The 27,351-nt window shown below is 54.2% G+C and overlaps 2 protein-coding genes across 3 annotated transcripts, besides 12 other annotated features; one reads left to right on the top strand and one right to left on the bottom strand.

Annotated features, from left to right (window-relative positions):
• Positions 1-1,970: 1,970 nt before the first annotated feature.
• Positions 1,971-16,360, bottom strand: SNX33 (sorting nexin 33). Of its 2 annotated transcripts, NM_001318146.1 has the most exons (3): positions 13,964-15,265; positions 13,699-13,741; positions 5,645-7,310 (listed from the first exon to the last, which is right to left on the bottom strand). In NM_001318146.1, the coding sequence occupies exons 1-3, from the start codon at positions 15,167-15,169 to the stop codon at positions 7,057-7,059; spliced, it is 1,503 nt and encodes a 500-aa protein (NP_001305075.1). In that variant the 5' UTR covers positions 15,170-15,265; the 3' UTR covers positions 5,645-7,056. The 2 variants fall into 2 exon arrangements, with proteins under 2 accessions (NP_695003.1, NP_001305075.1); NM_153271.2 differs by having other exon boundaries at positions 1,971-7,310; positions 13,699-16,360.
• Positions 2,113-2,686: an enhancer, noted in NCBI's record as "H3K27ac hESC enhancer chr15:75953927-75954500 (GRCh37/hg19 assembly coordinates)". NCBI's record gives its function as "activates a minimal SCP1, AML or CMV promoter by ChIP-STARR-seq in naive H9 embryonic stem cells {active_cell/tissue: H9 hESC(naive)}" and the evidence as "EXISTENCE:reporter gene assay evidence [ECO:0000049][PMID:30033119]".
• Positions 3,835-4,408: an enhancer, noted in NCBI's record as "H3K4me1 hESC enhancer chr15:75952205-75952778 (GRCh37/hg19 assembly coordinates)". NCBI's record gives its function as "activates a minimal SCP1, AML or CMV promoter by ChIP-STARR-seq in naive H9 embryonic stem cells {active_cell/tissue: H9 hESC(naive)}" and the evidence as "EXISTENCE:reporter gene assay evidence [ECO:0000049][PMID:30033119]".
• Positions 6,381-6,880: an enhancer, noted in NCBI's record as "H3K4me1 hESC enhancer chr15:75949733-75950232 (GRCh37/hg19 assembly coordinates)". NCBI's record gives its function as "activates a minimal SCP1, AML or CMV promoter by ChIP-STARR-seq in naive H9 embryonic stem cells {active_cell/tissue: H9 hESC(naive)}" and the evidence as "EXISTENCE:reporter gene assay evidence [ECO:0000049][PMID:30033119]".
• Positions 6,881-7,382: an enhancer, noted in NCBI's record as "H3K4me1 hESC enhancer chr15:75949231-75949732 (GRCh37/hg19 assembly coordinates)". NCBI's record gives its function as "activates a minimal SCP1, AML or CMV promoter by ChIP-STARR-seq in naive H9 embryonic stem cells {active_cell/tissue: H9 hESC(naive)}" and the evidence as "EXISTENCE:reporter gene assay evidence [ECO:0000049][PMID:30033119]".
• Positions 10,182-10,733: an enhancer, noted in NCBI's record as "H3K27ac-H3K4me1 hESC enhancer chr15:75945880-75946431 (GRCh37/hg19 assembly coordinates)". NCBI's record gives its function as "activates a minimal SCP1, AML or CMV promoter by ChIP-STARR-seq in primed H9 embryonic stem cells {active_cell/tissue: H9 hESC(primed)}" and the evidence as "EXISTENCE:reporter gene assay evidence [ECO:0000049][PMID:30033119]".
• Positions 10,734-11,286: an enhancer, noted in NCBI's record as "H3K27ac-H3K4me1 hESC enhancer chr15:75945327-75945879 (GRCh37/hg19 assembly coordinates)". NCBI's record gives its function as "activates a minimal SCP1, AML or CMV promoter by ChIP-STARR-seq in primed H9 embryonic stem cells {active_cell/tissue: H9 hESC(primed)}" and the evidence as "EXISTENCE:reporter gene assay evidence [ECO:0000049][PMID:30033119]".
• Positions 12,251-13,187: an enhancer, noted in NCBI's record as "H3K4me1 hESC enhancer chr15:75943426-75944362 (GRCh37/hg19 assembly coordinates)". NCBI's record gives its function as "activates a minimal SCP1, AML or CMV promoter by ChIP-STARR-seq in naive and primed H9 embryonic stem cells {active_cell/tissue: H9 hESC(naive and primed)}" and the evidence as "EXISTENCE:reporter gene assay evidence [ECO:0000049][PMID:30033119]".
• Positions 15,885-16,576: an enhancer, noted in NCBI's record as "H3K27ac hESC enhancer chr15:75940037-75940728 (GRCh37/hg19 assembly coordinates)". NCBI's record gives its function as "activates a minimal SCP1, AML or CMV promoter by ChIP-STARR-seq in naive H9 embryonic stem cells {active_cell/tissue: H9 hESC(naive)}" and the evidence as "EXISTENCE:reporter gene assay evidence [ECO:0000049][PMID:30033119]".
• Positions 15,885-16,741: a biological region, named in NCBI's record as "H3K27ac hESC enhancer GRCh37_chr15:75940037-75940728".
• Positions 16,202-16,741: a silencer, noted in NCBI's record as "silent region_6677". NCBI's record gives its function as "represses an Ori minimal core promoter by ATAC-STARR-seq in GM12878 lymphoblastoid cells {active_cell/tissue: GM12878}" and the evidence as "EXISTENCE:reporter gene assay evidence [ECO:0000049][PMID:35858748]".
• Positions 23,894-24,053: a silencer, noted in NCBI's record as "silent region_6676". NCBI's record gives its function as "represses an Ori minimal core promoter by ATAC-STARR-seq in GM12878 lymphoblastoid cells {active_cell/tissue: GM12878}" and the evidence as "EXISTENCE:reporter gene assay evidence [ECO:0000049][PMID:35858748]".
• Positions 24,048-25,179, top strand: IMP3 (IMP U3 small nucleolar ribonucleoprotein 3). The gene has a single exon (NM_018285.4). It carries the CDS (start codon positions 24,104-24,106, stop codon positions 24,656-24,658), a length of 555 nt encoding a protein of 184 aa, NP_060755.1. The 5' UTR covers positions 24,048-24,103; the 3' UTR covers positions 24,659-25,179.
• Positions 24,344-24,403: an enhancer, noted in NCBI's record as "active region_9860". NCBI's record gives its function as "activates an Ori minimal core promoter by ATAC-STARR-seq in GM12878 lymphoblastoid cells {active_cell/tissue: GM12878}" and the evidence as "EXISTENCE:reporter gene assay evidence [ECO:0000049][PMID:35858748]".
• Positions 25,180-27,351: the final 2,172 nt, after the last annotated feature.

The raw sequence follows: 27,351 nt of genomic DNA, 5'->3' as shown, positions 1-27,351 counted from the left end.
CCTCCACCCAATACCCACCACCTGCCCCTCACGGCCACCTGCCCCTCTCCCTCCCCATTCCCTTCGATTCCCAGCACCCTTGTGTTCACACTGCAGCAGGACAGTGGCCCCCGCCACGCCTAGCCCCCCAGCCTTCAAAAGGCAGCCTGGTGCGGTGGGAAGGGCACGGCTCCAAGTGCAGGCAGACCTCAGCCCAGGCCTGCCATGGGGCAGGTGCGCAATCTCGCAGTGACTCAATGCCTCTGAGCCACCGTCTGCTGGAAAATGTTGACAATAGGAGTTCCTACCTTCCAAACAGTCGTGGTACCAGCACAGAGGACTGAAAAAATGGTAGCTCTTGTGCACTCAGGCCCACCCAACCTGGCTGACCTGTGTGGCTTTGAGGATGCAGCCGGCCTGAGGCAGTGACAGCATCCACACTCGTGAACTCGTGGCCATGTATAATCGTGGTAACCATCGCTTGAGTGATGCTGGAGGAAACTGAGACTGAATGATGACCTTACATGAGGTCACCCAGTGAATCTGTTTATGGGAGGCATTGGGTATGAGACTGGGGCTCTTAACCTTGGGCTGTGCTATCCTGTATATGTTGGTATATGTAACTGTTAGTGGCCCAGCGGACCCCTCCTGCCCTGGATGACAAGTACAATGACAGCCAAGGACCCCAAGGAATCTGCTCCCCACGGAGGCAGTGTGGCAACACGGGGCAAGGCTAAAGGTCTGGGGGTGGTTGGGGGCCTGGTTCCAGGCCCAGCTCTGCCATCTACCCACTGTGTGGCTTTAAAGGGCTTGCCCAGTCAGTTTTCCAACCTATGAAGTGGGGGTACCAATATTCTTAGCACTCTCTCTCCCCAGGGCTGCTCCAGCTCTACTCAGGCTGATGACCCCACCTGCTCCTCAGTGGCGCTGGCTGTGCAGGCACTGCCCAGATGATGTGTTCTGCTCACGTCACCCTCCTAACAGCCATCTGGAACTCCCCTCTCAGTGGAGAAACAGAAGCATGAAGCAGTTAAGAAACATCCCTACAGCAAGGCCACACTGGTCAGGATCTGCACTTGCCTCTGGGCGGTAGAGGGAAAGGAATGGGGTTGGGGTGGGGGCTGCTGCTATCTGGGGGCAGCAGGGCTATATGGAGGAGCCTCATACTCCCTTGCTCCAACCCCAGAGCACTCCTGCCAAATGGCAGCAAGGGGTGCGGGTCAGCCCAGAAGAGGCTCCAGGTGCCTCCAGGCTTCCGCCAGCCTGTAACACCCGGCCCTGGCACTGGCCATCTGCCTCTCAGCACAGGTAGCCCAGGCCTGGGTACTGTTTCGCACCAGCCTTGGCTACTCCAGCACCCCCCTCGCTGGACCCCATTTCCTGGTGTGTAAAATGACAGTAATAATCTCTTGCACATGGGGTGGTTGTAAAATAACGACCATCCAGTGCCCATCACAGTGCTGCCTGCACTGGGAGATAGTAGAATCCCCAGAGGCTGGGAGATTCCGAAGCAGTGGGACTCATACCCCCATCCCAGGTAGAACCCCAAGAAAGGAGCCAGATCCCAGAAGAAACAGGGTGGCATGGGGTGTCTAAGCGGCACCCCAGAGCTCCCTGTGCTTGACTGCGAAGTGGGAGCTGTGGAATGATGACCACAGGCCCCAGAGGGGGCCACAGGCCACAGAAAGGACCTCTATCAGCCCCTTAGTACAGGGCAAATGGAAGGAGCCCTGAGTGCCCAAGAGCAGAGAAGAGCCAGACACACAGAGACTCAGGATGGGCATCAAGGGAGCATGCAGGGGAAAGGCAGGAGGCAGGGCAAGATGATCGGAGGGCCCAATGCTGACCAGGACCATGGCGGGCATCGCAGGCCCAATGGCAGCATCCAGGTCCAGGAGTTCTGCAAGAAGCAACCCGTAACAATGTGTGCTGCTGGGTGGGCAGGGCGGGGAGGAGGGAAGAGAGCAGAGCACCAACAGAAAGGGGCAAAATCAAAATTAATACCGTTTAATTAAGTATCTACAAGACAGGACACAAGTCATAAACTGAACCCTTTAATGTGGAATGCAGGTAAATATTAATATGTATGATAGAGTGTGGGATTCAGCCTTTAAAATGCAAAGCTCCCTAAGGTCTTCAAATGTGCCATCCCCAAAAGTTCTACACATCCCTGGGGAAAGAAAGGGTCCCCAAATTGATGTGAGATTACACTTCTACCATGTGGGGAATGGGGGAGGAAAACAGAAATTCAGGTCAGATATAAAAAAAAATTAAGTTATGTTCCTCACTCATGTTCCTTTGTAAACGGAGCTCCTGAGTCACTGCAGCTGTCACCGTGCAGTGCCATCTTCAGACCCTTCATCCCTCAGGGCTGGGGGGACTCACCCTACCCTCTCACCCTTCACATTTCAGCCGTTGGGTTCACCAGCCTCCTATCCCTTCACTCATCTAGAGGGGAAATCTGCCTCCCCTTCTTCCTTTGGCCCTAAATGAGTTCATCAGTGTGACTCTAAGGAGTGATGGCAGGGAGCTGGGTTTGAGTCCAGCCCCGCCAGAGATTCCCTGTGTGAACCTAGGCAGGTCCCATCTTCCCTCTGGCCAAGTCTCAGTCTCTTTGTTGCGAAAGGGAATAAATGCTGCCTACTGGGGCTGCTGAGCAGATCCAGGCCACAGCTATGCGACACTACTTCTTAAACAGACTGCACTGCACTGGGGTTTGACCAACAAAACAAAACCAAACCAAAAGAAAAAAAAAGTTTGTGTTCAACTATGTTGAACAGAGCTGGGTTTCACAATCAGCCCTTCTGAGCTATGTCGGGGGGTGGTGAGGTTTGATTTTTCCCCATGGTCTTCCTACCAGGGCTCACCGTCTTCTCCTGCCCCAGCCAGTGGAGAGGGGAACCAGAGCCGAACTAGTGGGGAAGCAGGTTAGGGTGGGTGGGGGAGCTGAGCAGGCTTGGCTCCTGGAGGCCTGAGTCAGCGGGCAGGCGGGCAGGGCGGGCTGGGTCCTCACATGCTTGGGGAGGAGATGGTGCAGGAATGTTCCTCCCGCCCAGGCCTAGGCCCTGCCCACCGCATCCTGGCTCCGGCTCCCGTGGCCACTGCAGCTCAGCTCTAGCTTGAGAAGGGAGCTGCCTGGAGCTCTGCTGGATCGGTTCAGCCAGGGGCCTTCAGAGGCAGCCTGGCCCAGAGGATTGGCCCAGGGGAGGGCAGGGCCAGGAAACAGAGTCTGCCCAGAGCCAGGCTCTGGCCCCAGAGTATCCCCTGCCCTGCTGGGTGATAAGGCCAGCCACCACTGCTCCCTGGGCCTCAGGCGCCCATCTGTTCAATAAGGAGCTGAACTTGGTGGTATCCAGTCATCCCAATTGCATCCCTAGACCTCAGGCTGTGTGCCTGTATGTGGTGCTTGTGACTGGCTCTACTCCCCCTTGGAGACACCCCCTCCAGGGGTGGTGTCTCCAAGCAAAGCTCTCCTTAATCTCTGATGAGGTGGGGACCCTGGGAGGTCATGCAGGTGCAGTCCAGGCACAGAGATGCTTATGACACCTTTGCTCTGTGCAAGCATGGCTTTGTGGCGGTGTGTGCCCGAGTATGTGTCACTGTGTGAGGCTATGACCATGTGCATAGGACTGTGGTGTGGCTGTGTCTGACAAAGTAGCCACTGGTGCTTTGAATGGATGGCAAGGCATGTGTGGCTGTGGCTGTGAATGTGTAATAGCGTGTGGCAGTATGACTGTGTGAGCATACAGGCATGCTTATGTGGCGTATGTGCCTGTGGGCAGGTGTGTGACTGCGTGTGCTTGTTGTGAGACTGAGCGATTACATTCGTGAGTCTGTGAGTGTGTAGACACGTGGAAGACATATGGCTCTGTCATCTGGGAGGGGTGGTGCAGAGCAGGGGCCGATGGGGCCACCTGCCTCTCCCAGGCCTGGCTCTGCTCCAGCCAGTGGTGCAGCCACGGCACAGTGGTTCATAGCCCTCCTGTGTCCAGCGGGTGAAGAGATGCAGGATCTGAGGTCTGCTTCCATCCCCAGCCCCCATCTGTGGCCACAAAGCGGATTCCTTTTCCTGTACTGGGCCAAGACTGGTGACCAGGGGATCCCCTACCCCGGGTGCTGGTAGCTGTCCAGGGCAGAAAGAGAAGCCTTGTTTTCCACCCCCTCAGAGCAAAGTAAGGGAGGAAACGAGGCAGCTGGGTCCAGCCGAGTCGGGAACATCTGCCTGGCATGTGACGAGGCAGGAATCGGCCATCACCAGGATGCCCCCAACACTGGTCCCCCAATCTCCTGCTGAAAGGGGCTTAGCTACCCCAGAACGGCCCCAAGTTCCCCCAATACCCCCACCCCCATAGAGGCAGAAAGAAAAGAGAGAGGAGGGCCAGGACAGCCTCCCTCCCTGCCACACACACACCTGCCCCAGCCCAGAGACCTCAGGATACCAGGAGCAGGCCTGGCATTATCCCAAGACTCCACTTCCTGATGCTTCTCCTGGATCCAAGTCCCTCCTGAGAAAAGTATCAGACTGATGGCCTCACCCTGAGGATGGAAGGCCTGGGAGGTGGTCCCCTCTCAAGGAAGGCACACAGAGGACAACACTGTTCCCAGAGCAGGAAGCATGAGCAGGGGACTTTCCAGGCACCATGGGTTAGGAGGAGCATTCCCACCAGCCCTGCCTCGGCCTGGCCCAGCCCCCACTGCTCAGAGCCCCTTCTGCAGATGGCTACATGGATGGCAGAGCTGAGAAGAGGTTAAGGGCGGGAAGTTCCTCGGATGGGTTAGAAAATGGGGCAGGGTGGAGAGAGGGGAAAATTCCTCAGAAAGTCCCAAATCTGACCTAATGTTGACCAAGGGCCAGGGGGACCCATTCCAGAAGTTCCTCTGAGGACGCTATGCCCTGAACAGGGAGTCCTGCCCGCCCCTTCCCCCACCGCACCTGCTGGCCCTTCTCCATCTTCCTGCACAAGCTCCCTGGTCCCTGGTCTAGCCAACCTTCCCTGACGGCCTTGACCCTGGAAGCCCTCCCTCCACCAAGTCCCCATTGCCTCCAAAGGAGAGCCAAGTCTCAACCAGTACCCTCCTCTCATCTGTGGATGAACAGATCCAAGAGCAAGGTCCGCTCATCCTGATCAGGGCACCCCCAACAGCCAGCGTCCTCTTCAGTTTCCAATGTGGGAGCCTCCGCAGGGCTGGGTACCCAGGACGGTTTGGGGAAGAGACACAGCTTCTGAGTCCCCCACTTCCCTCCCCTGGACTAGGGCTTTTCAAGGGCAAGGCCAGGGCATGGCTCCTTGGGGAGAGGAGCCACCATCTATTAATTGTCCTAGGGCACAGCGTCCTGTCCCTTCCTCATACAACCCTCAGCCCCAGATCACAAGGCAGTACAGCCAGTCCCCTGGGCAGCACTCCACCTGTTTTAGAGACAAGAGTGCGTTCTAGGGAGGGATGGATCCACCCAGGGGTCCACAGCCGCCTCTAGCTCCTCCTGCCTGCTGGCACCTTCCACCAGCATAGCCCTCCCCTGAACTTTTGAGGTTCTGTGGAAAATTTGTGCCCACCACGACCTCAGAATCTCATCCAATGGCTCTCAGGAGCAATTAGGGCTCTATCCTTCTCCTGCCCTCCGCCTTTCTGGGATCCAAACAGAAAAAGTCATGCTTGTGTTATCTTAATTGTAAAAGGTTTATCAAGAAAAAAGATTCAAGGAGCAGCATCCAGGAGGAGACCATGACCCCCCCGGGGGCAAGGGGGGCAGTGGTGACACATGTCAGCACCCCACAGCAAGCTGCTGGACCACACCCTGACCTGGGTGGGGAGGAGGCAGAAACCCCTCGGGGATGTAAACATAGGTCAGAGACAGCACAACCTGACGGGGAGCAGGGGCCCACATTCCAGCGAGGCAGACAGAGGGCAGGTGGGCATGGAATCCCTCGCATGGCTGGGCAAGCAGGCCCCTGTCTTTTTCCTCTTAGGTTTCCCATTGTGCAACAGGAAGGATCTTGGGAAGACAGTGCCACAGAGCCCAAGGACCCTGAGATCCTGGGTTTGGACCTGCTTCGAGTGTGGGGAGTTATTGCTGGTGAACTCAAATATACAGTCACTTTTGAGAGTCTTCTCCAGGAAGGTGTCACCAGGGATCTGGGGCCCAGGGCTTATACCTCAGCACCTTGAGTCCGAGGAGGGGAGGATGCTGCAATGGTCCCCTGCCCGAGATAAGCTGAGGGCCCAAAAGTGGAGGGGAGTCAGAGGCCTACAGGAGGGAGATGGCCTGTAGCCCCCTCCTGCAGGGGACAGGGTGATGTACGGACAGCCAGCAACATGGGAGCAAGGGAGATCCCTTCCTACCACACAGGCCAGAATCCCCATGGAAAGCGTACCTAACTTGCTTGGAAAGTAAGGGAGAGAAGAGGGAGATGTTTGCATGCCTCCATAACTTTGCCCATGCTGTTCCTCTCCCCTGAAAGTCCTTCTCCCCCATGTACTGTCTGGCAGGCCCTTGTCATTCTTCAAAACACTGCCCAAATGTTGCCTACTCTATGGAGTCTTCCCTGACCAGTGGAATGCTGTGGTCCCTTCTATGAGCTTCCAGAAATCCCTCACTTAAACATCAGTCATACTGCATTGACTCTGTCTGTGTCTGACCCCGACCTTCACTGAGGACTCCTGAAGAGCAGGCATGTCACAGCCCTGGGTGCCCAGCATCCGACCCAAGGGTGCAGCAGGCCTCGGTGTCTGCTGAATGGATAAGGCAGCAGTGGCCAGGTGAGCAAGCAAAATAGGCTCTAGGGGAGGCTGAGACCCTGGCCTGACCTTCACTGACTGACCGGCAGCCCAGGCCTTGGCCTCGAGGGCTCCTGACTCTATTCTCACCCCTGCTGTGCCCCACTTCTAAGGAGTGGGGAATTTCCCAGGGGCACCCATGACTCCTTGAAAGCTCCTTCTCCCAGGAGGCAGGACAGGCCGCTTATCTCCCCCACCGCTGACCCCTCCCCCAGTCACTGCTGGTATAGGGAGGTCGGGAAAGTGGGGTACACTGCAGTGACCAGGCCCAGGGGAAGGAGGGGGCCCAGGCACACGCGGTCAGAGGTTGTCATACATGCGCAGGGTCTTCTCCAGCTGCTGGCCCACCCGCTGGTAGAAGAGGATCTGCTGGCGCAAGTAGTTCTGCATCATGTGCTTGAAGTCGAGCTCACGGCGCTGGTGGAAGTGGTTCATCTCGGCCTGCAGGGCGAAACCCACCACGCGGCAGCGCCTGCGAATGCCGTCTGCCTCGTCCTGCACCATGCGGCCCTCGTCACTCATGCGTTGGCTCTCCTTCACCTTGGCGAAGGCGCCTGGCATAGGCAGAGCAGAGGACAGCGTGTGAGGGCTCTGATCTCCATGTGCTCCCTGTACCCTTGAGGGCAGACAGCACCCTCATCAGCTCAACTCGGACGTCATTCCTGAGCCCCAGACCCACATTCCAGCCACCTGGGTGTCTCTGCCAGGATGTTACCCAAGCCATCACCCTCAGCACCTCCTAAACCAAGCACATCATCTTCTCTCCAAATGTGCAGTGCCACCAGTAGCCCACATGTGACCAGTCACAGCCCTGCTTGATGGACTATGAATTCAATGAGGATAGAGCCTGTCCTCAACCTCTCTGTGTCTCTGGTACCCAGAACAAGGCCTGGCCCACAGCAGATCCTGATATAGGCCTGCTGAACTGATTCAACCCTGTCCCTCACTGGACTGCTACAACAGCCCCGCCACGTCTCCCTGCCCTCCGCCCCAGCCTCTGACAGGTTCTCTGCAGCATCTAAAGAGGTATCCCAAGCTGGGCACCTTTCCTAGCTCTCCACTACCTACAGATCAAGGTCCACACCAATCTGCCTGGCCTGGGGGGCCCTCACCTCTGGGAGTTGGCCCCTGCACGCATTCCACACTGACCCCCATGTTCGTCAAACTCACCTGGCTCTTTCCTACCTTCCTACCTCTGCCCCCTGGATTCCTATTCATAATTCATGGCCCCGATCAGGTGCCACTTCTACACTGGAGCCTCTCCCAGTTCCCCTGACAGAATGTCTCTCCCATGTCACCTGTGCCCTGGCTCCCCACCCCCACCCCCATCACACTGCTGATTCTAAAACAACTCTTCAAAGGCCACCTGGTGTATCTCCCAGACATGCACGCCCTGTTCCCTCCTCATCCCAGCCCCCAGGGAACTCGAGGAGGTTGTGTAATAACCAGGTGACAGATGGGGGGTGGAGATGAACCTGGGCAGAGGACCCAATTTAGAAGAATCTGAATGAATGAACAAGCAGCTGGTGAATGAATTTCAGTTCTGAATTAAAAGGGACTTGACGAATTCTGCCTTTAAGCCAGTGGGGACAGTTGCTGGGAAGAGAAGGAAGTTTGCCTGTGCCTGGCACTCAGTCGCCGAGGGCTGCAGAGAATCCACCATACAAAGAAGATTAGGAGCAGGGAAGGGTTGGCATAGAGGACAGCACACCCCTGAGCACTGCAAACGCACCCACTACACACAGATAGCATGCTCAATACCCATGCTTTCCCACTTCTCCTTTAAGGAGGGCTCTTGAGGGCTGTCTAGATAATATTCTCTTCACTCCCTGGCTCAAATTGTCCAGTGCATTCTAAATGCATTCATTGAGCACTTACTGTATATCAGGCCCAGGGCTCTACATGCTGGGAATAACTCTGGATGCCTTTAGAAGGGGCAACATCCATGTTAGTTGATAAGTGCATGGCTAATCGGCTAATAGTAGCATTTCAGGCAAACAGACTCAAGTTCAGAGAGTCTCCAGGGCTGCTCACACAGCGCCCAAAAGAAATCTGCATTCCCCAGCTCCCAGCCCACTCAGTCCTTCTGCCACCTTCCCTGGACCACCTCCTGCACCATCTCAACAGCCCAGCCCTGGGCAGCAGAAGGGGGATCACCCCAAGGCCCAGGATAGGACCCAGTAAGAGACTTCAGAGCTAGAAAGGCCCAAAAGATCAGGTGTCCAACCCTCGATTCCACCTCCATCCTACTACTGTACAGAGGAGGCCAAGGCCCTGAGGGGCAGGAACTTGCCCAGGACTCCCAGCCTCTTTCCTGCCTGGTCCTCCACAGCTGGGGGTCGGACACCACTTCTGCTGCAGGGAGCCCATGCCAGGTCCTTCAGGCATATGTGTGGGGCCCCCAGACGTTGGACACAGGGATTCAAGAAGGTCCCAAGGAGTAGGAAGAACCGTAAGAAGAAAGGTAGAAAACAGCAGGGTGAAGAAACTGGAGTTAAACTTCCGCAGAAGGAACCTAGCTAAAGAGGAGATACTGAACTAGCCTGGATTCCACCTGCCGAGAAAGTTGGCACAGTGGAAGTGCATCTATAGACTTTTCCTGTCCATGGCCTTAGAGGAAGGAAAGGCCTCTTTTGCTGATGAGGAGCCCAAAGAGTAAGAATGAACCCATTGCAATGGTTAGGTATCCACAGACAGGCAGGAGGCCAGGGATGGGGAGCAAAGGCTGCAGAGGTCGGGGGGAAACAGAGGCCCCACCCTGTTCTCCGTTACCCCTCCACCCTGTGACTCAGCTCTGGGGCCAGGACCAGCTAATGCTAATGCACCCCACCCCACAGGCTGGGAGTCAGGGCTCAGGCCTGTCCAGCATCCCCCCGACATTCTACTTAAGACTTAACCTGAGAGCTGAGGACCCAGGGGGACCTCCTGCCTCAGCACTCCTCTTACAGGCTGGGTCCCAAAAATGCAGAAAGGAGGGTTGGAGCCCACCAGCTGCAAGTCCCAGGGATATTCCCTAAGCTCCCACCTCAATCCATCTTGCCCCTGCCTCTTGGAGACAGTTAACATCCACCCCAGGTTGGGGGCAGGAGGGAGCAGGAGGTCTGAGTCCTAGTCCTAGCTGTATCCTCTCCAGCAAGCCACTGCTCTTGCCTGGGCTCCAGGTCTCCCCACTGCCCAGTGGGACAGGTTGCACTAGATGTGATGCTGTTGACAACCTCTCACACGGTATAGTGCTTTAAGGAGTTTCCACATCTGTAAAATGGGATAATAATAGTACCTGCCCTATAGTATAGTTGAGGCTTAACTGAACTAATATGTACACAGTTCAAAGGAGCGCACCTGAGATACAATAGAAGCTCCAGATGCTACATGTTATGGCTTGAAAACTGCTTTTCTTTTCTTTTTTTTTTTTTTTTTTAATTTGAGATGGAGTCTTGTTCTGCTGCCCAAGCTGGAGTGCAGTGGCTTGATCTCGGCTCACTGCAACCTCCGCCTGCTGGGTTCAAGCAATTCTTCTGCCTCAGCCTTCCAAGTAGCTGGGATTACAGGCACCTGCCACCATGCCTGGCTATTTTTTTGTATTTTTAGTAGAGACAGGGTTTCACTATGTTAGCCAGGCTGGTGTCGAACTCCTGTGATCCGCCCACTTCGGCCTCCCAAAGTGCTGAGATTACAGGATGAGCGGTAGAGGGAAGGCTAGATGATGGCTCAGAACCCAGAGGCTGAACCCACCCATCCCCCAGGCAAGAACTTGTCCCTACAGTCGCCACTTTGCCTTGGCCACGCTGTCCCTATGGCCCCTCCATGGAAGCTCTGTGGTCCTGGGCCTCTCTCTAGCCCACAGGACCAGTGAAGGAGCACCCAAGCCTTCCTCCCTCCTCTTTCGCCTTCTGGCTCAGCTCTCCATCCCTGGGGATCCCCTCCCCCATCTGGGAGGGCACAGTGGAAACAGCCTGGGCTGCGGAGCCAGACACACTGGACTCCAGCTCCTGCTCTGAGGCTCATCTGCATCGCTGCACCTCGTCTGTAAAACGGAAGTGACCACATCGCCCTCCTGACCTGTCGTGAGCCTTAGGACCAGCCCCGCTCTTGCTGGCTGTCAAGTTGGGGGTCCATACGTCCCAGCTTGCCCTGGACAGTTACTTTCCCCTGTTGTCCCGGGATCACTATTGCTAGGGCCCCCTTTTATGCCCCAAACTGCCCTGGTTAATTATATGGTTACCCTTCTCTTAGGAGACCCCTGGATTGGGCTACAGGGACTAGGCCCGTGGGAGGACCAGGCTCCTCTCAGCTCCAGCCAGGGTTTATGTCCCATTTTATTTCATTTTATTATTTTTCTGAAAAGCATACAAATTTGTTTAATGTAAGTTTCACATGACATGGAGCCCTCCTAAGGAAATGAAGACCCTCGGGTCCCATTTTACTCACCTAGAGACTGAGGGGAGAAATCTCTCCCAAAGTCATGTCAGATGCAAAGTTTGTCCAAATCCTGGTCTCCTGACTCCCACCTAGGCCTCCACTGTCCTTCCTCCCACACACTCACCACCCATTCAGATGTCCAGACAGGCTGGACAGAATCCTGGGGGCCCAGGACCCAACTGTTCTTCTCTTTTCTTTGAGAAGGGCTCCACCCCTAAGGCCAGCATTAGGACCCCCTCCTTATCACTCCCATTGGGCTGTGGTCCCCAAAGCCTGTCCAGTTCTGTCTCAGTACCCCCTCCCTAACTTGCCCCACACCACAGGCCTGGGAGGAGCAGTGCAGAGCCCAGAACTTAGAGTAAGCCAGAGAGGGCTTGGCCCATTGGGAGGGGTCCTCCCGGGGAGGGAAGGCAGTGGGCTGGCCTCTGTTTCAGGTCAAATGCACCAGCACAGAGGACAGTGGCCTCTGACTCTTAGAAACACCTCAAGTAGAAACTCAGAAATGGCCTATCTCAGCTCTGTCTCTCTGCCCAGGGTCAGAAAGGCTGGTCTGGCTTCCCCCCAGCCTGGGAGGCCCTGGTGTCCTTCCTAGGTGTGGGGCTGCCCTAATGTCCTCAGCTCTGCTCTGGGTGGGGGGTCCCCAGCCACTGCATGGGAGCATCTGTTTAATCATTGCATTCCCCCTCCTGCTGCCTGCACAGGAACAAGCCATCTAAGGAGCTGGTTGAACCAGCCTTCCCACTTGTGCTCAGGGAGACACCTGCCCCAGTGGGCCCCCAGCAGGCCTGGCCACCTCCCCTGCCCTACTCCTGCCCCAGTGCTCAGAGCCAGAGCTAAGGTGTCATTCTGTTTCTGAGCCATACCCTCCCCAGGAGTCCCTTCCCACCCACTCCCTTGAAGGCCTGATGGCTCACTGGGACCCCATTCCCTTGTTTTACAGATCAGGAAACTAAGGCCCAGAGGGGCAAAGGCACTCCCCGGGGACGCACAGCAATCTAGGGGCAGAGCCAAGACTAGCACTCAGGTTTGTGTTTCCTGGAGTTCAGAGGAGGAGGAAGAAAGGTAGAGATGAGAGAAAAAAAAAAAAAAACAGAAAGAAAGGAAGAGGAAGAGGATATAGCAAGGGGAGAAAGGAGGCTGGGAGCTGGAGAAGTTATAGAAGTCAACCTCTTGGTAAAGGAAAGCAAGGCCAGCTTACCCCAGGCCCTCCCTGGTGGTGGTGGGTGACATGTTTCCTGTTCCCCAGGCTCAGTGCAGAGGTCTGCCCCCTGGCCCCACCCAGAGTCAAACTCCCCACCAAGCCAGGTCTAACCTCAGGGCCCAAGGGCCAGGGAGCCAGCTCCACGCCCTGCAGACGAGTTACCAAGCAGCCCCAGGGAGGATCACACCTCTCTCCTGACATCTGCCCTCCCAGCTGTGCCCAGGACTCAGGCACCTGCTGGGGCAGCCACTGGCTCTCTCCTCAGGCAAGAAGAGAAGCCAGGCTTGGGAAGCAGGAGTTGGATAGGCCATGTGGACAGTGCCCTGGACCCCTGATTCTGCACCCCTGGCCCAGCCAGAGTGCCCCTGTGTGACCCAGGATGAGTCATTTCCCCGGCAGTTCATGGACAGCCCCAGCAGTAACAGGCAGAGGCCCATCCTGTCCCTCCCCCACAGAGGGGGTCATGAGAACTGAAAACATGGCTAGGCTTGGGAAGTGGCCAACATGGACGTGTCCTTGGGGAGGTGGCAGGAGGAAGGGACAGTCCCAGCCGGGCCACAGGCTGTGCAACCACTCTTCTGTGGACACTAGCTCCTTCATCTGCAAAATGGGGACAGGGATCTTCCTGCACACAGACAAGACGCTCATAAAGAGAATACACAGTGGTGAGAGTAGCTTCCAAAGCTGCAAAGGTGGGGAGGTTAACTTGCAAGGAGCACAAGACAGGCCCCCACTCTGAGCTCTTGTTATCTGGGTTGGGTCTGTGTCTCCCAAGGGCCTACCGGCTCCTCAAGGGCAAGGCCTGGGGCCTGGTCATCTATGTGTTCTCAGAACCCAGCATGACACCATGCATGATGGGTAAACGAGATGCAAACAGAGAAAATGAATGAACTGACAAGAAGGTAAATATCAAGCTCCATGAGGACAGAGACCGGGCCTGTGCACAACAATATCCCTGCACCTAGAAGCACATTTGCCACAGACACAGAGTTGATATTCAACACATTTGTTTGTTTGTTTGTTTGTTTGTTTGTTTTAGAGACAGGGTCTCACTCTGTCACCCAGGCTGGAGTGCAGTGGCACAATCGGGCTCACTGTAGTCTCAACCTCCTGGGCCCAAGTGATCCTCCTACTTCAACCTCCCAAAGTGCTGAGATTACAAGCGTAAGCCACCGTGCCCAGCCCAACACATTTGTTAAATGAATGATTGAGACAGAGAAATAAAGACAAGTTGCTCCATTCTATCCAGGCCATCCCCATCTCCCCAGGGCCCAGCAGAGAGCCAGACTCAGGACGAGTTTCCTGCCTGCACTGGGCCTTACCTTTTTGTAGATGGATGATGTCAGGGAAGTTGGAGAGCAGGCCCTGGTAGAGAGACAGTGTGTCCAGCATCTGGAAGAGGTCATTCTTGGGCTGCTCAGCAAACATCTCCCCGATGGCTTCATAGGTACGGCCCGTGTGAGAAATGGCACTGTTGAGGGCCTCAGAGCAAAAGGGGGGGTCCATCTGGAAGGAATGACTGATGGCCTGGAAGGCACTGCCCAGCTTCTGGAATTCCTTGCGGAAGCCCCCCACATGTTTACGCACCAGCTCTGATGCCACAGTGCTGAGCTGCAGGACGCTGTCGTCCATCTTCTTACTGAAGGCCTTGAAAGTGTCCACGCGATCTTCCACGTCCTGCAAGTCCTGGTGCTCGGTGGGGATCTGGAAGGTGAGCAGGAAGCTGGCACCCACCATCTCATCCTTCTCCGCCCGGCGTTTGCCCATCTTCCACTGCTTGTCATCCAGGCAGCTGAGGAAATGCTGGAAGCCTTCGTACTGGGAGAGCACAGGGTGGCTGGTCATGTGGTCCATCCAGAGGATGAGTCTCCGCTTCCGCTTTTCGATGAAGTCCTCCTCGAAGCGGCCAGTGGCCTGCTTCTCAGGCAGGTGGGGCACCGAGATGACAGTGAACTTGTGTAGCAGGCGGTTATAGAGCCAGTCAAAGTGTTTGTAGCGCCGGTAGACGGGTGAGGCAGCATGGGTGGGTGTGAGCTTGTAGGAGATGTAGCTTTTGATGCCCTTGAATTTGGTCTGTTTTGTGGGGTCCTCCACAGAGCAGGCAAATGGGTGGGGATTGGCCTTCCACTGGGGGCCACGAGGGCCCATTTCAATGGAGTATGTCTCAGCGATCTTGGCCATCATGGGCACATCACCCAGGATGAAGGCCTCCACTCCAGAACGCACAAAGCATGAGAAACGGTTGAGGTTACGGCCCACCACACTGCCTCGCTTGGCAGATGCCAGGCTGTCCTGCCGCTCCAGTGGTGGCTTGGGCCGGAAGGCCATGTGCTGGCTGGGGTAGGCACCAGGGTAGGAGAGGTTGAGGGGAGGGTGCCCGTTGGTGCCCAGCCCACCAGCCCGTGGCTCCTCCACCACTGTGCATCCGTCGTCCCAGTCATCCCAGTCATCATCATCATCCTCCTCAAAGCTACCCTGGTTTGAGAGGAAGCCACTGCCCCCACCACTCCTAGCTGGGCTGGCCACACTGGGGCTGTTGTACAAGCTCACCTGGGCTCCGGGAGAGCCTGCAGGGCTGCTGGAGTAGTCAGCATGGTTGGTGCTGATGCCAGAACGGACGATCTCCACATAAGAGGCAGGAAAGAGCCCTGTCTCCCCACGGCTGTTCTGGCCCTGCAGCCAGCCATCCAGTGAGGTCTCGCTAAAGATGACCAGGTCCTCATCCTGCTGGATGCTGATTTCCTCCTTGTTCTCACTGTGAAAGTCATAGAGGGCTCGGCCTTTCAGTGCCATGGCTGGGCTGGGTGGTATAGAAAGATGGGAAGGAGAGGGTCCTGCCCAGACCGGGGATGCTCACAAGGCAGTCCAAGAATGCACTCGCAGCTGAATGGCGCTTACACAGTTCAATCTCTCAGGTCCTAAGGTGGGGTCTCAGCACCCACAGATGCTGTCCAGTCTCCCCCTCTTCAAAGCAATGTCCATGGCCCAGAAACTGCCCTATCAGGTCTCCGGGCATATGCTTGTGAGCAGGGAGGGCTCATGTCCACAGTCTCCTCCTCCCTTAGCAGCCTCTGGGGGGTTAGAGGGGAATCTCTCCTAACTCCTACTCCCAGAAGAAAAGTCAAGTGACCTGGAGAAATCTGCCCTGCGAGGGGAAAAATTCGACACTTTCCACTGGAACAACGTTCTAAAATAGAAGAGACTCACTCTGAAACCACCATTCCAGAAACCCGGGCAGGGCTCGGCTGTCCCTCTGGCTCCCAGATTCTTTTGGCGGCTCTCGCTTTGGGAGGCTCTCACATTCCTCTGCAGATCTGCCCCTTCCTCCTTCCTCCTCTTGCTCCTGGGCCACTGGGTTTTCAAAAATCCGGAAAATCCAAGAGGGGCAAGGAGAAAAGCAGCAGCCGCCTGAATCGAGTCCAAGGGTGGATGTGTCCGGCTTCACAACGAGCCAGGCCGGGAAAACAAGGACTGAGGCTTACACAACAGGCCGCCAACTCTTCGACCCCGGCTGCGCAGCCGGAGCCCCCGCCGGCTCGGGCGCCCTCTCCCCGCCCCAGAAGTGGCCAGCCCCAACCCCGGAGGAAGGAGGGGGCGCGACGAGGCTGTCGGGCGACTTCTAGCCACTCGCTGAGTGGTCTCTTTTGTTTGCCTAATTCCTCAGCAGTTTCTGAGCCTGACGCTGACCCTGCTCTGAATCCCAGGAACCCCGTCCAAAGGTAACCCCAGCAGAAACCGGTTCCTCACCCGGGACTTACGACCCCCGATCACCACCCTCGCGTGCACGCACACACTCAACAGTTTGGAGTTTGGAGAGTGAGCTCCGGCGAGCAGATGGCGCGGCCAGCCGTCTGTCCGTCCGTCCTCCTCTCCGCCCTGCGGGGCCCGGCCAGTGGGGGGCGGGCTGCGCCCCCAGCCTGCCTTCCCCGGCGCTCGCAGACCCTCCGCTCCGCCAGCGAGAAGGCAGCTCCAAAACAAAAAGGCGATTCCGGGAGGTGGCGTCCTGAGGAAGGAGGGGATCGCCAAAGGGGAGGTGAGGGGTGGGGAGAGGGAGGAGGGAGGGGGAAGCAGGCTGGAGAATCGGGCAAACTCCGCTGCACTTCCGTGCGTCCCGGCGGGGCAGGGACGGCCAGCTCCGCCCTCCCGCGGGCCCGGGGCGCTGCAGCCGAGCCCCCGCCTACTCCTCCGCGCGGCTTCCCAGCTGGCCAGCGCCCTCGCTCGCTGGCGCTCAGTCCGGGAGGCGAGAGGGAGGAAACGACCCGGGAACGAGGGGGCCCGAGAGCCTCCGGGGCTGGTCCCTGGGACCGCCACCTCCCCTCCTCTCCCTCCGCCTGTCCGCCCTCGCCGGGAGACACCTCACGCCCCCGTGGTTGGAGCGCCCGGCGGGGGAGCTTGCCAGCTGCCGCTGCCTCGCTTCCTGGACTCCGTCATCCTCCTGCCTTTTCCGTGACGCAAATGGAGTAAAACTCCGAAAGTTTGCAAAGCGTGGGGCTGCAAGGAGCACCGCGCCAGAGCCAGGATCGGGAGATCGGGGTGGGGGGAGGGGGGTGCGTGGAAAGCCGCCGCGCCAGCTGGGGTTGGGGAGCAGAGTCGCGGACTCGCCTTCCCACCTTCCCATTCCCCACTCCTGCTCCGCAGGGACGGGTCGTGGCGCAGCTCAGAGATTGTTTTCCGGAGGAACAGAAACGGCCTGCGCGTTCCAGGCGTCTGACCTAAGATACCGAGAGCTGCGGGTGCAGCACCCTAGCCAGACAGGGCGACCCTGCCCTGGGCGACTAGCTTGGAAGGAGGGAAAGACACTACTCTACATCTGCAGCGACAGGGAACAAGTCTAGGTGCCACCCGGTTCCGTGTTGCTTAGTACAGCAGCGGGGACTGGATGTTCTGTGCTAGCCAGCGGCAGCAAGGAGAGAAGTGGTCAGGTAGAGAATCTTCGAGAAGAGGCAAGTGGGATCTGACCCTCGGTCAGCATATCGGGAACACTTTGGGCATTGATTCTGCTAGGCACTGTGCTGGGCACTGGGGAGTAGTACACCACAAGGCAGTCGGGGTTTCTATCCTGGGGGGCTTACAGTCCACCCTCTCTTGTCTTTAATCAATCCATTCTGTCTCAGTCATTCATTCAGCCAAGTCATGCACTCAAGAAACATTAACTGAGTACCTACTCTGCACCAGGCCCCTGAGCTACAAAGACAAATAAGACATTATCCTTATTTTCCAAAAGCTCAGATATGTTGTGACAAGTAGACAAATGCTCCCTGCCCAGTGTGACTAGTTAGTGCCATGAAAAGTGCACATGAGGGTACCTACCCCAGCCTGGGTAGAGCAAGGATCAAGGAAAGCTTCCTGAAGGAGGAAGTGCCTAAGATGAGGCAAAGGCTTCAGGAGGACTCCCTTTCCTGGCTATACCCTGGAGTCTTGTCTACCCTGTCTAGCTAGATCTTCCCTTCATTCTCTCCCTAGTCACTTATTGCAGATTAACTGGTACAAGGTAGTTCTGCTAAAGATGGATACCTTTGGCTGTTTTGAGGGACATGGTTCCCAGACCTCTGGCTCCAAAACCCAGTTTCACTGGTTCAGTGAGTGGATCCGACTCCCTTCGCAGGTCTGGCATTTGACCAGAATAAAGGCCTATGTACAAACCCCAGAAGGCTAGGTATCAATTTGCACAGAGAAATAAAACTGTCAAGCAGAACTGAATTTCTGCATCAATAGATCAAGGCAGTTTGGGCTACCCCTTGGGAAGCCCAGTTACCAGAAAGTTAGCTCAGTGAGTCTGGAACCCCCAAGAGGGGAAAGGGTATGAGGAGTCTCTCAGTCAAGTAACCTTAAAACCTTGCTTCCTGTCATGGGGCAGCCTTCATTCTAAAGACAGTTCGTCCTAGCATCTCTAAGACAGAATATACGTTTTCCCCACGTGCTTTTAGGACCCCCCCCTTCCCTGTGATCTATCTTCTGTCCACATAGCCTTTCTCCAAACTGAGTTTAACAATAGCATCAGGGCTGGGTGCAGTGGCTCACACCTGTAATCCCAGCACTTTGGGAGGCCAAGGCAGGTGGATTACTTGAGCTCAGGAGTTCGAGACCAGCTTGGCCAACATGGCGAAACCCCATCTCTACTAAAAATACAAAAAATTAGCTGGGCGTGATGGCGCATGCCTGTAATCCCAGCTACTCAGGAGGCTGAGGTAGAAGAATTGCTTGAACCCAGGAGGCAGAGGTTGCAGTGAGCCGAGATTGTGCCACTGCACTCTAGCCTGGTGATAGAGCAAGACTCCAATCTCAAAAAAAAAAAAAAAAAGATAGCATCAGCCAGGTGAGGTGGCCAGGAGTGAGAGGCTGCAGTGAGCCAAGATGGTGCCATTGTATATGTCATTATACTCCAGCCTGGGGGACAGATCGAGACGCTGTCTCACAAAAAAAAAAAAAAAGCAAAAAAAAGCATCTACTTCCTTAGTGCTTGCTGAGTGATGGACACTACAGTAAACGCTTTACCTTTATTAGTTTACTTAATACAATTGGGATTTCTGTTCACCCAATAGGGTCCCCCTCCAGCCCAACCTCCCCGAGGCGTCCTCAGCCACCACCCTTGACAGACTTTAGTTGGTTCCCAAACACTCAGTCACACATTTACAGACCAGCCATTTTGGATTTACTCCCACATGTGTTCTAGACGGGTTTTTTTGTAACTCTCAGGAGCCACCCTTATTTCCAGGTTCTTGGGAGGAACTCACTCCTCAGCCTCACTGAGATTTCCAGAACCTGTATCTTCCCATTCCCTCCCCTCCAGGGACCTTCTTCAGTCCTAGGGGAAACAGGCCATGTTAGCAGTCTCAGGAAACTGCACTAACCCTTGTGATCTCCCTATACCCTGCCCATTCCTATGGAAACAGTCCCTTTAGTCAAGTCTCACATTATTCTTTTTTTCTTTTCTGTTTTTTTTTTTTTTTTTTTTGAGACAGGGTCTCACTCTGTTGCCCAGGCTGGAATACAGTGGCACAATCACAGCTCACTGCAGCTTCAACCTCCCTGGGCTCAGGTGATCCTCCCCACCTCAGCCTCCCAAGTAGCTGGAACTACAGGCACCCGCCACCACATCCAGCCAACTTTTGTATTTTTGTATAGGGGGCTTTTCACTATGTTGCCCAGGCTGATCTCAAACTCCTGGGCTCAAGCAATCCTTCTGCCTCGGTCTCTCAAAGTGCTGGGATTACAAGCATGAGCCACCACCCCCAGCCTCTCACGTTATTCTCACTGGGGTGTGTTCTGTCTTTCCTGCTGGGACCCTGATTCATACACAGGAAACAGCATCCATCCCTCATCCAGGCATCCAATTTCCATCCTTTAGGAAAGGAAACAGCAAGGGAGAACTGTGCCCAGTGGTTTTCAGGCTGACTCTGCTGGTGGCAGCCTGCAGGACACACTGGACTATTACTGTAGGAATGCAGACAAAAGATGATGAGGGCCTGACATAGGGCAGGGGTAACAGGCTGGAGAGACAAAAATCTGGGAGAGCTTTTGGAGGTAGAATAGACTGGGAAAGCAACCAATAAGCTGCAGCTATTGAGTGAAGTATCAACCCACATGTTAAAAAAGATTTTTTTTGAGGCCGGGCATGGTGGCTACTGCCTGTAATCCCAGCACTTTGGGAGGCTGAGGTGGGCGGATCACGAGGTCAAGAGGTCGAGACCATCCTGGGCAACATGGTGAAACCCCGTCTCTACTAAAAATACAAAAATTAGCTAGGCATGGTGGCGTGTGCCTGTAGTCCCAGCTACTCAGGAGGCTGAGGCAGGAGAATCGCTTGAACCTGGGAGGCAAAGGTTGCAGTGAGCCGAGATTGCACCCGCCACTGCGCTCCAGCCTAGCGACAGAGCAAGACTCCATCTCAAAATTTTTTTTGACTCCACTTTCCCCACCAGCTATTGCCCCATTCCTCTGCTCACCTTTGCAGCAAAATTCCTTGAAATAGCTGTCTATACTAAGTGCGTCCAATTTTTTTTCTCCTGTTCTCTCTTTAAATCCCTCTGGCCAATCTTTTACTCCCACACTCCACTGAACTATTCTTGTCAAGGTCATCAATAGCCTTGGTGTTGCTGGACCCTAATGGTTATTCTCAGTCCTTCTCTTATTTAGCCTTTTGGTAGCATTTGACCTGGTTGATCACTCCTTCCTCCTGGATACATTTTCTTCATTTGCATTGGAGAGAACATACTCTCCTGGTATTTCTTCCACCTCACTGGTTCATCCTCTTCTCTCCAATAATTCTTTTTTTTTTTTCTTTTTTGAGACAGTCTTGCTCTGTCACCCAGGCTGGAGTACAGTGGTGCGATCTCGGCTCACTGCAACCTCCGCCTCCCAGGTTCAAGCAATTCTCCTGCCTCAGCCTCCCAAGTAGCTGGGATTACAGGCGCCCGCCACCACGCCTGGCTAACTTTTTGTATTTTTAGTAGAGATGGGATTTCACCGTGTTAACCAGGCTGGTCTCGATCTCCTGACCTCATGATCCACCTGCCTCAGCCTCCCAAAGTGCTGGGATTACAGGCATGAGCCACAGCGCCCAGCAAGCCTCCAATAATTCTTAACGTTAGAGTAACCACAGTAGAGTTGTCCTCTTGTCTTTTGTATCCATAGGCACTCCTTTGATGATCTCATCCAGCCGAATGACTTCAAATACCACTCATTCTAGTAATGCCCAATTTTTTAAATCTCCAGCCCTTTTTAAAAAAACTCTTAACTCATATATCTATTTCTCCTTGACATCTCCCCTCAGAAGTCTAATGGATGCCTCCAACCAAAAATGTCCAAAATTGAATTTCTGAGCCGGGCATGGTGGCTTATGCTTGTAATCCCAGCACTTTGGGAGCCTGAGGTAGCAGGATCGCTTGAGCCCAGGAGTTCAACACCAGCCATGACAACATAGTGAGACCCCATCTCTACAAAAAATTTAAAAATTAGTAGCCAGGTGCAGTGGCTCACGTCTATAATCCCAGCACTTTGGGAGGCCGAGGGTGGGCGGATCACCTGAGGTCAGAAGTTCGAGACCAGCCTAGCCAACATGGCAAAACCCCGTCTCTACTAAAAATACAAAAATTAGCTGGGTGTGGTGGCAGGCGCCTGTAATCCCAGCTACTTGAGAGGCTGAGGCAGGGATAATTGCTTGAACCTGAGAGGCGGAGGTTGCAGTGAGCTGACATCGTGCCATTGCACTCCAGCCTGGGCAAGACTCTGTCTCAAATAATAATAATAATAAAATAAAAAATAAAAATTAGCTGGGCATGGTGGCATGTGCCTGTAGTCCTAGCTACTCAAGAGGATTGCTTGAGGCTGGAAGGTTGAGGCTGCAGTGAGCCTTGGTCGTACCACTGCACTCCAGCCTGGGCAACAGTGTGAGACCCTATCTCAAAAACAAAAACAAACAAAAAACATAAGTGTCAATCCTTTGCTCAAAACCCCGAAGTATATGCCTCTCAACATAAAAGCCAAAGTCTTTTCAAGGGACTACAAGCTCTTTAACCTCTTCCTCTCCTCCTTGCCCACTCTGCTCCAGCCAAGATAGCTTTCTTACTCTTCTGACATGCCAGGCACATTCCTGCCTTAAGGCATTTCCACTGTTTCCTCTTCCTGAAATGTTCTCCCCCTAGATATCCACACATGGCTTAACCCCTATAAAATATCACCTTCTCAATAAGACCTACTCTGGGGCTGGGTGCAGTGGCTCATGCCTGTAATCCCAGCACTTTGGGAGGCCAAAGTGGGTGGATCACAAGGTCAGGAGATGGAGACCATCCTGGCTAACACGGTGAAACCTCGTCTCTACTAAAAATACAAAAAATTAGCCAGGTGTGGTGGCAGGTGCCTGCAGTCCCAGCTACTCAGGAGGCTGAGGCAGGAGAATAGCTTGAACCCAGGAGGCGGAGGTTGCAGTGAGCCAAGATCACACCACTGCACTCCAGCCTGGGCGAGAGAGCAAGACTCGATCTCCAAAAAAAAAAAAAGAAAAAATCAATTAGATTAAAAAAGCAAACAATCTGTATTAGCTTTCTGTTTGTTTTAGAGACAGGATGTTGTTCTGTTGCCCAAGCTGGAGTGCAGTAGTGTGATCATGGCTCACTGCATCCTTGAACTTCCGGCTTCAAGGGATCCTCCCCCCTCTTACCCCGAAACCCTCACCAGTAGCTGGGACTATAGGTGCTGCCACCATGCCTGGCTAATTTTTTTTTTTTTTTTTTGTCCATAGGGACTGAGTCTTACTATGTTGCCCAGGCTGGTCTTGAACTCCTGGCTTCCAGTGATCCTCCCACCTTGGCCTCCCAGTGTTGGGATTACAGGCATGAGCCACCATGCCTAGCCTGGTGATGTTTTCTTAAACTGGCTAAGTTTATGAGTATTTATTATACTTTATAATTTACATATTATATTATTTTCCAGATATCGAATATTTTATATATATATATATATCTTTTTGAGACAGGGTCTGGCTCTGTTGTGCAAGCTGGGGTGCGGTGGCACCATTGTAGCTCAATGCAGCCTACAAGTCCTGGGCTCAAATGATCCTTCCCCCTCAGCCTCCCAGGTAGTCAGGACTACAGGTGCGCACCACCATGCTTGGCTAATTCTTTAAGATTTTTTACAGAGGTGGGATCTCGCTTCTTTTTTCTTTTTTTTTTTGCCTAGGTTGGTCTTGAACTCCTGGCCTCAAATGATCCTCCCACCTCAGCCTCCCAAAGTGCTGGGATTACAGGCATGTGCCACCGCGCCCAACCCTCAAATATTGTATTGTAAAAGACAATGAAAAGCATACAAAACAAAAATGATCAGTGAGAAGCTAGGTGGCGTCAAATGCCCGGGCAAAAAGGGGTTAGGTCTGCAGCGCTATACTCAGATGTAACTTACAGATGCAACTAGCGGAAACAGCATTAAATTTGTTAACTCAATGCTTGGTGGCCAGAAATTCATGTCAGGATAATTCATTTGAGCACAGACTAAAGGGTTTGGACTTGTAGTTATAGTCCAAGTTTCTCAAACTTGCTGGGTTTTATGAATCATCTGACACTTTAGTTAATAATACAGATTTCCAGGCGACTCCCTTATAGATCCCTTTTCTGTGGGCCTAGGAAGCAGCCAATCAGTATTTCATGGGTTCGGTGCCACCTATCCCAACTTGACAATGAGAGATCGCTCTGCATGCCAGGTGAAGGACCTGACGCTGGCGGGCGGCGGGGACTACCAGGTCAGCCCCAGGAGAGCCGGCTCCGGCAAGCTCCCCCAAGGCATGGCAGGAGCCCAGTGCAAGTTAGCACAGTAAACCCAATCAACAAGCCGCAGTCACCCCTCTTCCCCAGAAATGGCCTCTTCAGCTCTTGCGGGGGAGACTCTGAAAGTCCCCAAAGGACAGAAGTCTAGGAGGAAATGATTGCCGCAGAAAGGGATACAGTCTTGGCTACTAAAAACCGCGCGGAACCGCCTAGGGACCCGCTCCCAACCACCCACCTCCGGTGCTTCTACCCCCTCCCTCGCAAACGCGAAGAAAAGAAGAAACGCGAGATCCCAGTGCAGAGGCGTGGTCCCACCCTGGCCAATGGGAAGTGAGGGCGTGACTTTAAGTCTTTCTTTCATTGGCCCAGGGTCCCAGGCCGTCCAGGTCTTGGGGCGCCGCGGCGGAAATCGCGCGGATGCCAGAACGCGCTCTCAGCTTCGGGTCCTGCGGCTGCGGCTGCCGCCATCATGGTGCGGAAGCTTAAGTTCCACGAGCAGAAGCTGCTGAAGCAGGTGGACTTCCTGAACTGGGAGGTCACCGACCACAACCTGCACGAGCTGCGCGTGCTGCGGCGTTACCGGCTGCAGCGGCGGGAGGACTACACGCGCTACAACCAGCTGAGCCGTGCCGTGCGTGAGCTGGCGCGGCGCCTGCGCGACCTGCCCGAACGCGACCAGTTCCGCGTGCGCGCTTCGGCCGCGCTGCTGGACAAGCTGTATGCTCTCGGCTTGGTGCCCACGCGCGGTTCGCTGGAGCTCTGCGACTTCGTCACGGCCTCGTCCTTCTGCCGCCGCCGCCTCCCCACCGTGCTCCTCAAGCTGCGCATGGCGCAGCACCTTCAGGCTGCCGTGGCCTTTGTGGAGCAAGGGCACGTACGCGTGGGCCCTGACGTGGTTACCGACCCCGCCTTCCTTGTCACGCGCAGCATGGAGGACTTTGTCACTTGGGTGGACTCGTCCAAGATCAAGCGGCACGTGCTAGAGTACAATGAGGAGCGCGATGACTTCGATCTGGAAGCCTAGCGGATCTCCCACTTTGCATGGCTGTCTTTTACAGATGGGAAAACTGAGGCCTGATGCTGGAGATTCTATGAGGGTGCTCTCCTCAAGGGTATCAGACGGTCGTAGGTTCTTAAGAATTTGATTCATCAGTGGCAGGCCATGCATAGAGCCACGGGAGGTGCGTCCTTGTTTTCCAGGGAATGTTCTTAGAACTTGGACTACTGATTATTAATTGACTGTGCCTTGGGAAACAGTGGGAAGTAACTTGGTGCAGCACTGGGGTATTGTTGGCTTCTTGTGTTGGAAACTTTGTAATGTAAAAGGAAAAACTGGAAATCCCCACGCCCTGTTTCCCTTTATCGTCTTGTGGTTGGACTGGTTCAATTCGTTTAACTCGAATTCTTGCTCCTGGCCGTGGTTAAGCTGTGTACAGATGATGGAGAGTTTGGCCTCAAGTTTTTATAAACTGAGCGAGACTAGTGTTCAGGATCTCCTCCCTTGTTTAAATGTCAATAAATGCCCCAACTGCTTTGTAAGTGCAACTTTTTAATCTGTCTGGTTTTCTTTTTTTCTCTAGAGACGGAGTCTTGCTCTGTCACCCAGGCTGGAGTGCAGTGGCGCGATCTCGGCTCACTGCAACCTCCGCCTCCCGGGTTCAAGCAATTTTCCTGCCTCAGCCTCCCGAGTAGCTAGGAGTATAGGCGCCCGCCACCGCGCCCGGCTAATTTTTGTGGTTTTAGTAGAGTCAGGGTTTCACCATGTTGGCCAGGCTGGTCTGGAACTCCTGAACTCGTGATCCGCCCGCCTCGGCCTCCCAAAGTGCTGGGATTACAGGCATGAGCAAACTGCGCCCAGCCTCTGGTTTTCTTACATAGAGTCATATTTATACGTCCCAGGAGCCCAGAGAAGAATAGAGTCAGCAGCGAGTGACCTGCCTGTGGATTAGATGTGCAACAGGGCCACATGTGGAGGATGCAGGATGTTGTACAGGATTGGGCAAATTTGTCACTTTACCAGTCCCTTCCTTGGAATGAGTGTTTTGGCAGAGCTCTTCCTCACATAACTTCCTGTTGATATTCCAGCCCCAGGAAATACCGTATTAGAGGGCTGGGATGTTTGCTTGCCTAAGGAAATAATCACTCTGTAGCTTGGCCATCTAGCGGTTAGAAGTGGCCCAGGAGGTTCCTGGAAATTTAGATGATAGCAGTGATAGAGAATAAGAAGGGAGACTACCAAGTTTTACTCAAGATTTCTTTATTCTTTTTTCTTTTTGTTTTTTTTTTCACACAAGGCCCAAGCTGGAGTGCAGTGGAGCTGTCACAGCTCACTGCAGCCTCGATCTCCTGGGCTCAAGCAGTCCTCCCACCTCAGCCTCCCCAGTAGCTGGGATTATAGGCATGTACCACCACCCCTGGCTAGTTTTTAATTTTTGTAGACACAGGGTTTTGGCATGTTACCTAGGCTGATCTCAAACTCCTAAGTTCAAGCAATCCTGCCTCAGCCTCCCAAAGTGCTGGGATTACAGGTGTGAGCCACCGTGCCTGGCCAAGCCTTCTAAAAGGAGAATAAATAGGATGCCGAGATCAGTGGATTGGCTTTTAGTGGTGCCTTGTTCGCTTCCCCAGGTGTGAGGCAGCATTAGGTGAAGAAATGATTTAGAGAAGGGGACTTATTATATCATGGGATCATATAATACCAAGTACTTCTACTATATGTCAGCTCCATTTTTAAGTGCACCACCTATATTAGCCCATTTCAACCTCCCAGCAATCCTATGAAGTGGAGAATCCAATTCTCTACTTTTCAGATGAGGAAATGGAGGCAGAGATGGGTCAAATTACCAAAGATTACGTAGCCAGTAAGCAATGGACTGGGACTGTGTCAGTGTCAGCACACCCAGCCCTTGATGTGTGTCAGAGTTTAGAAAGAGTCTCTGAACTTGAATTTACAAACCAGCAGGGAAAAGCAGCAGCACTAGGCAATTCGATCGGTCTCCACAGGATGCTGTATAAAGGTGTGAGGAGGGAGCAAACATTGAACTGGGAAGGCATTAAGGAAAAGGTGATATTCAAGTTAGGAAGGGAACTAACTCTCATCTAGGCCCTGCTAGTTCTAGGCTGCCATTTACTCTTACCAACAACTCTGCAAGGTAGGTGGTGGTATCTGTAACTTCAGTTTGGGAAACAATTGGAATAGCAACCTGTCCAAGGCTAGGTTTCGAGTCCAGTCTCATGTGACTCCAGAGGCCATGTTTGTTTCAGTGCTGTCCCTTTATAAGTGGAAGGAGAGAGAATCCTGCTCTCCAGCTCTGGTGGCTGGGCATAGTCTGCCCATTTGGAGGAACATCCTCAGGGCTCCCAAGATTGTGGATCTCATGGAGGAAAAACAAAGTGGCTCTACAGGGCAGGACCCCTGTGGCCCTCCAGCTCCCACCAGACCCCACAAGGCATGGCAGATAGATCAGCCCCTTTGGAGTAATTGGAGCCTGCACCCATGGCCCAAGCAGATAAAAACCTCAAAATTCAGGCCAGGCGCGGTGGCTCATGCCTGTAATCCCAGCACTCTGGGAGGCTGAGGTGGGCAGATCACTTGAGGCCAGGAGTTCAAGACCAGCCTGTCCAACATGGTGAAACCCCATCTCTAGCAAAAATATAAAAATTAGTCGGGCGTGATGGCACATGTTTGTAAACCCAGCTACTTGGGCTAGGTTTGCA

This window comes from Homo sapiens, chromosome 15 (genome assembly GCF_000001405.40).
Source record: "Homo sapiens chromosome 15, GRCh38.p14 Primary Assembly".
Taxonomy (NCBI): domain Eukaryota; kingdom Metazoa; phylum Chordata; class Mammalia; order Primates; family Hominidae; genus Homo; species Homo sapiens.
This window is presented reverse-complemented; position numbering and strand designations above follow the sequence as displayed.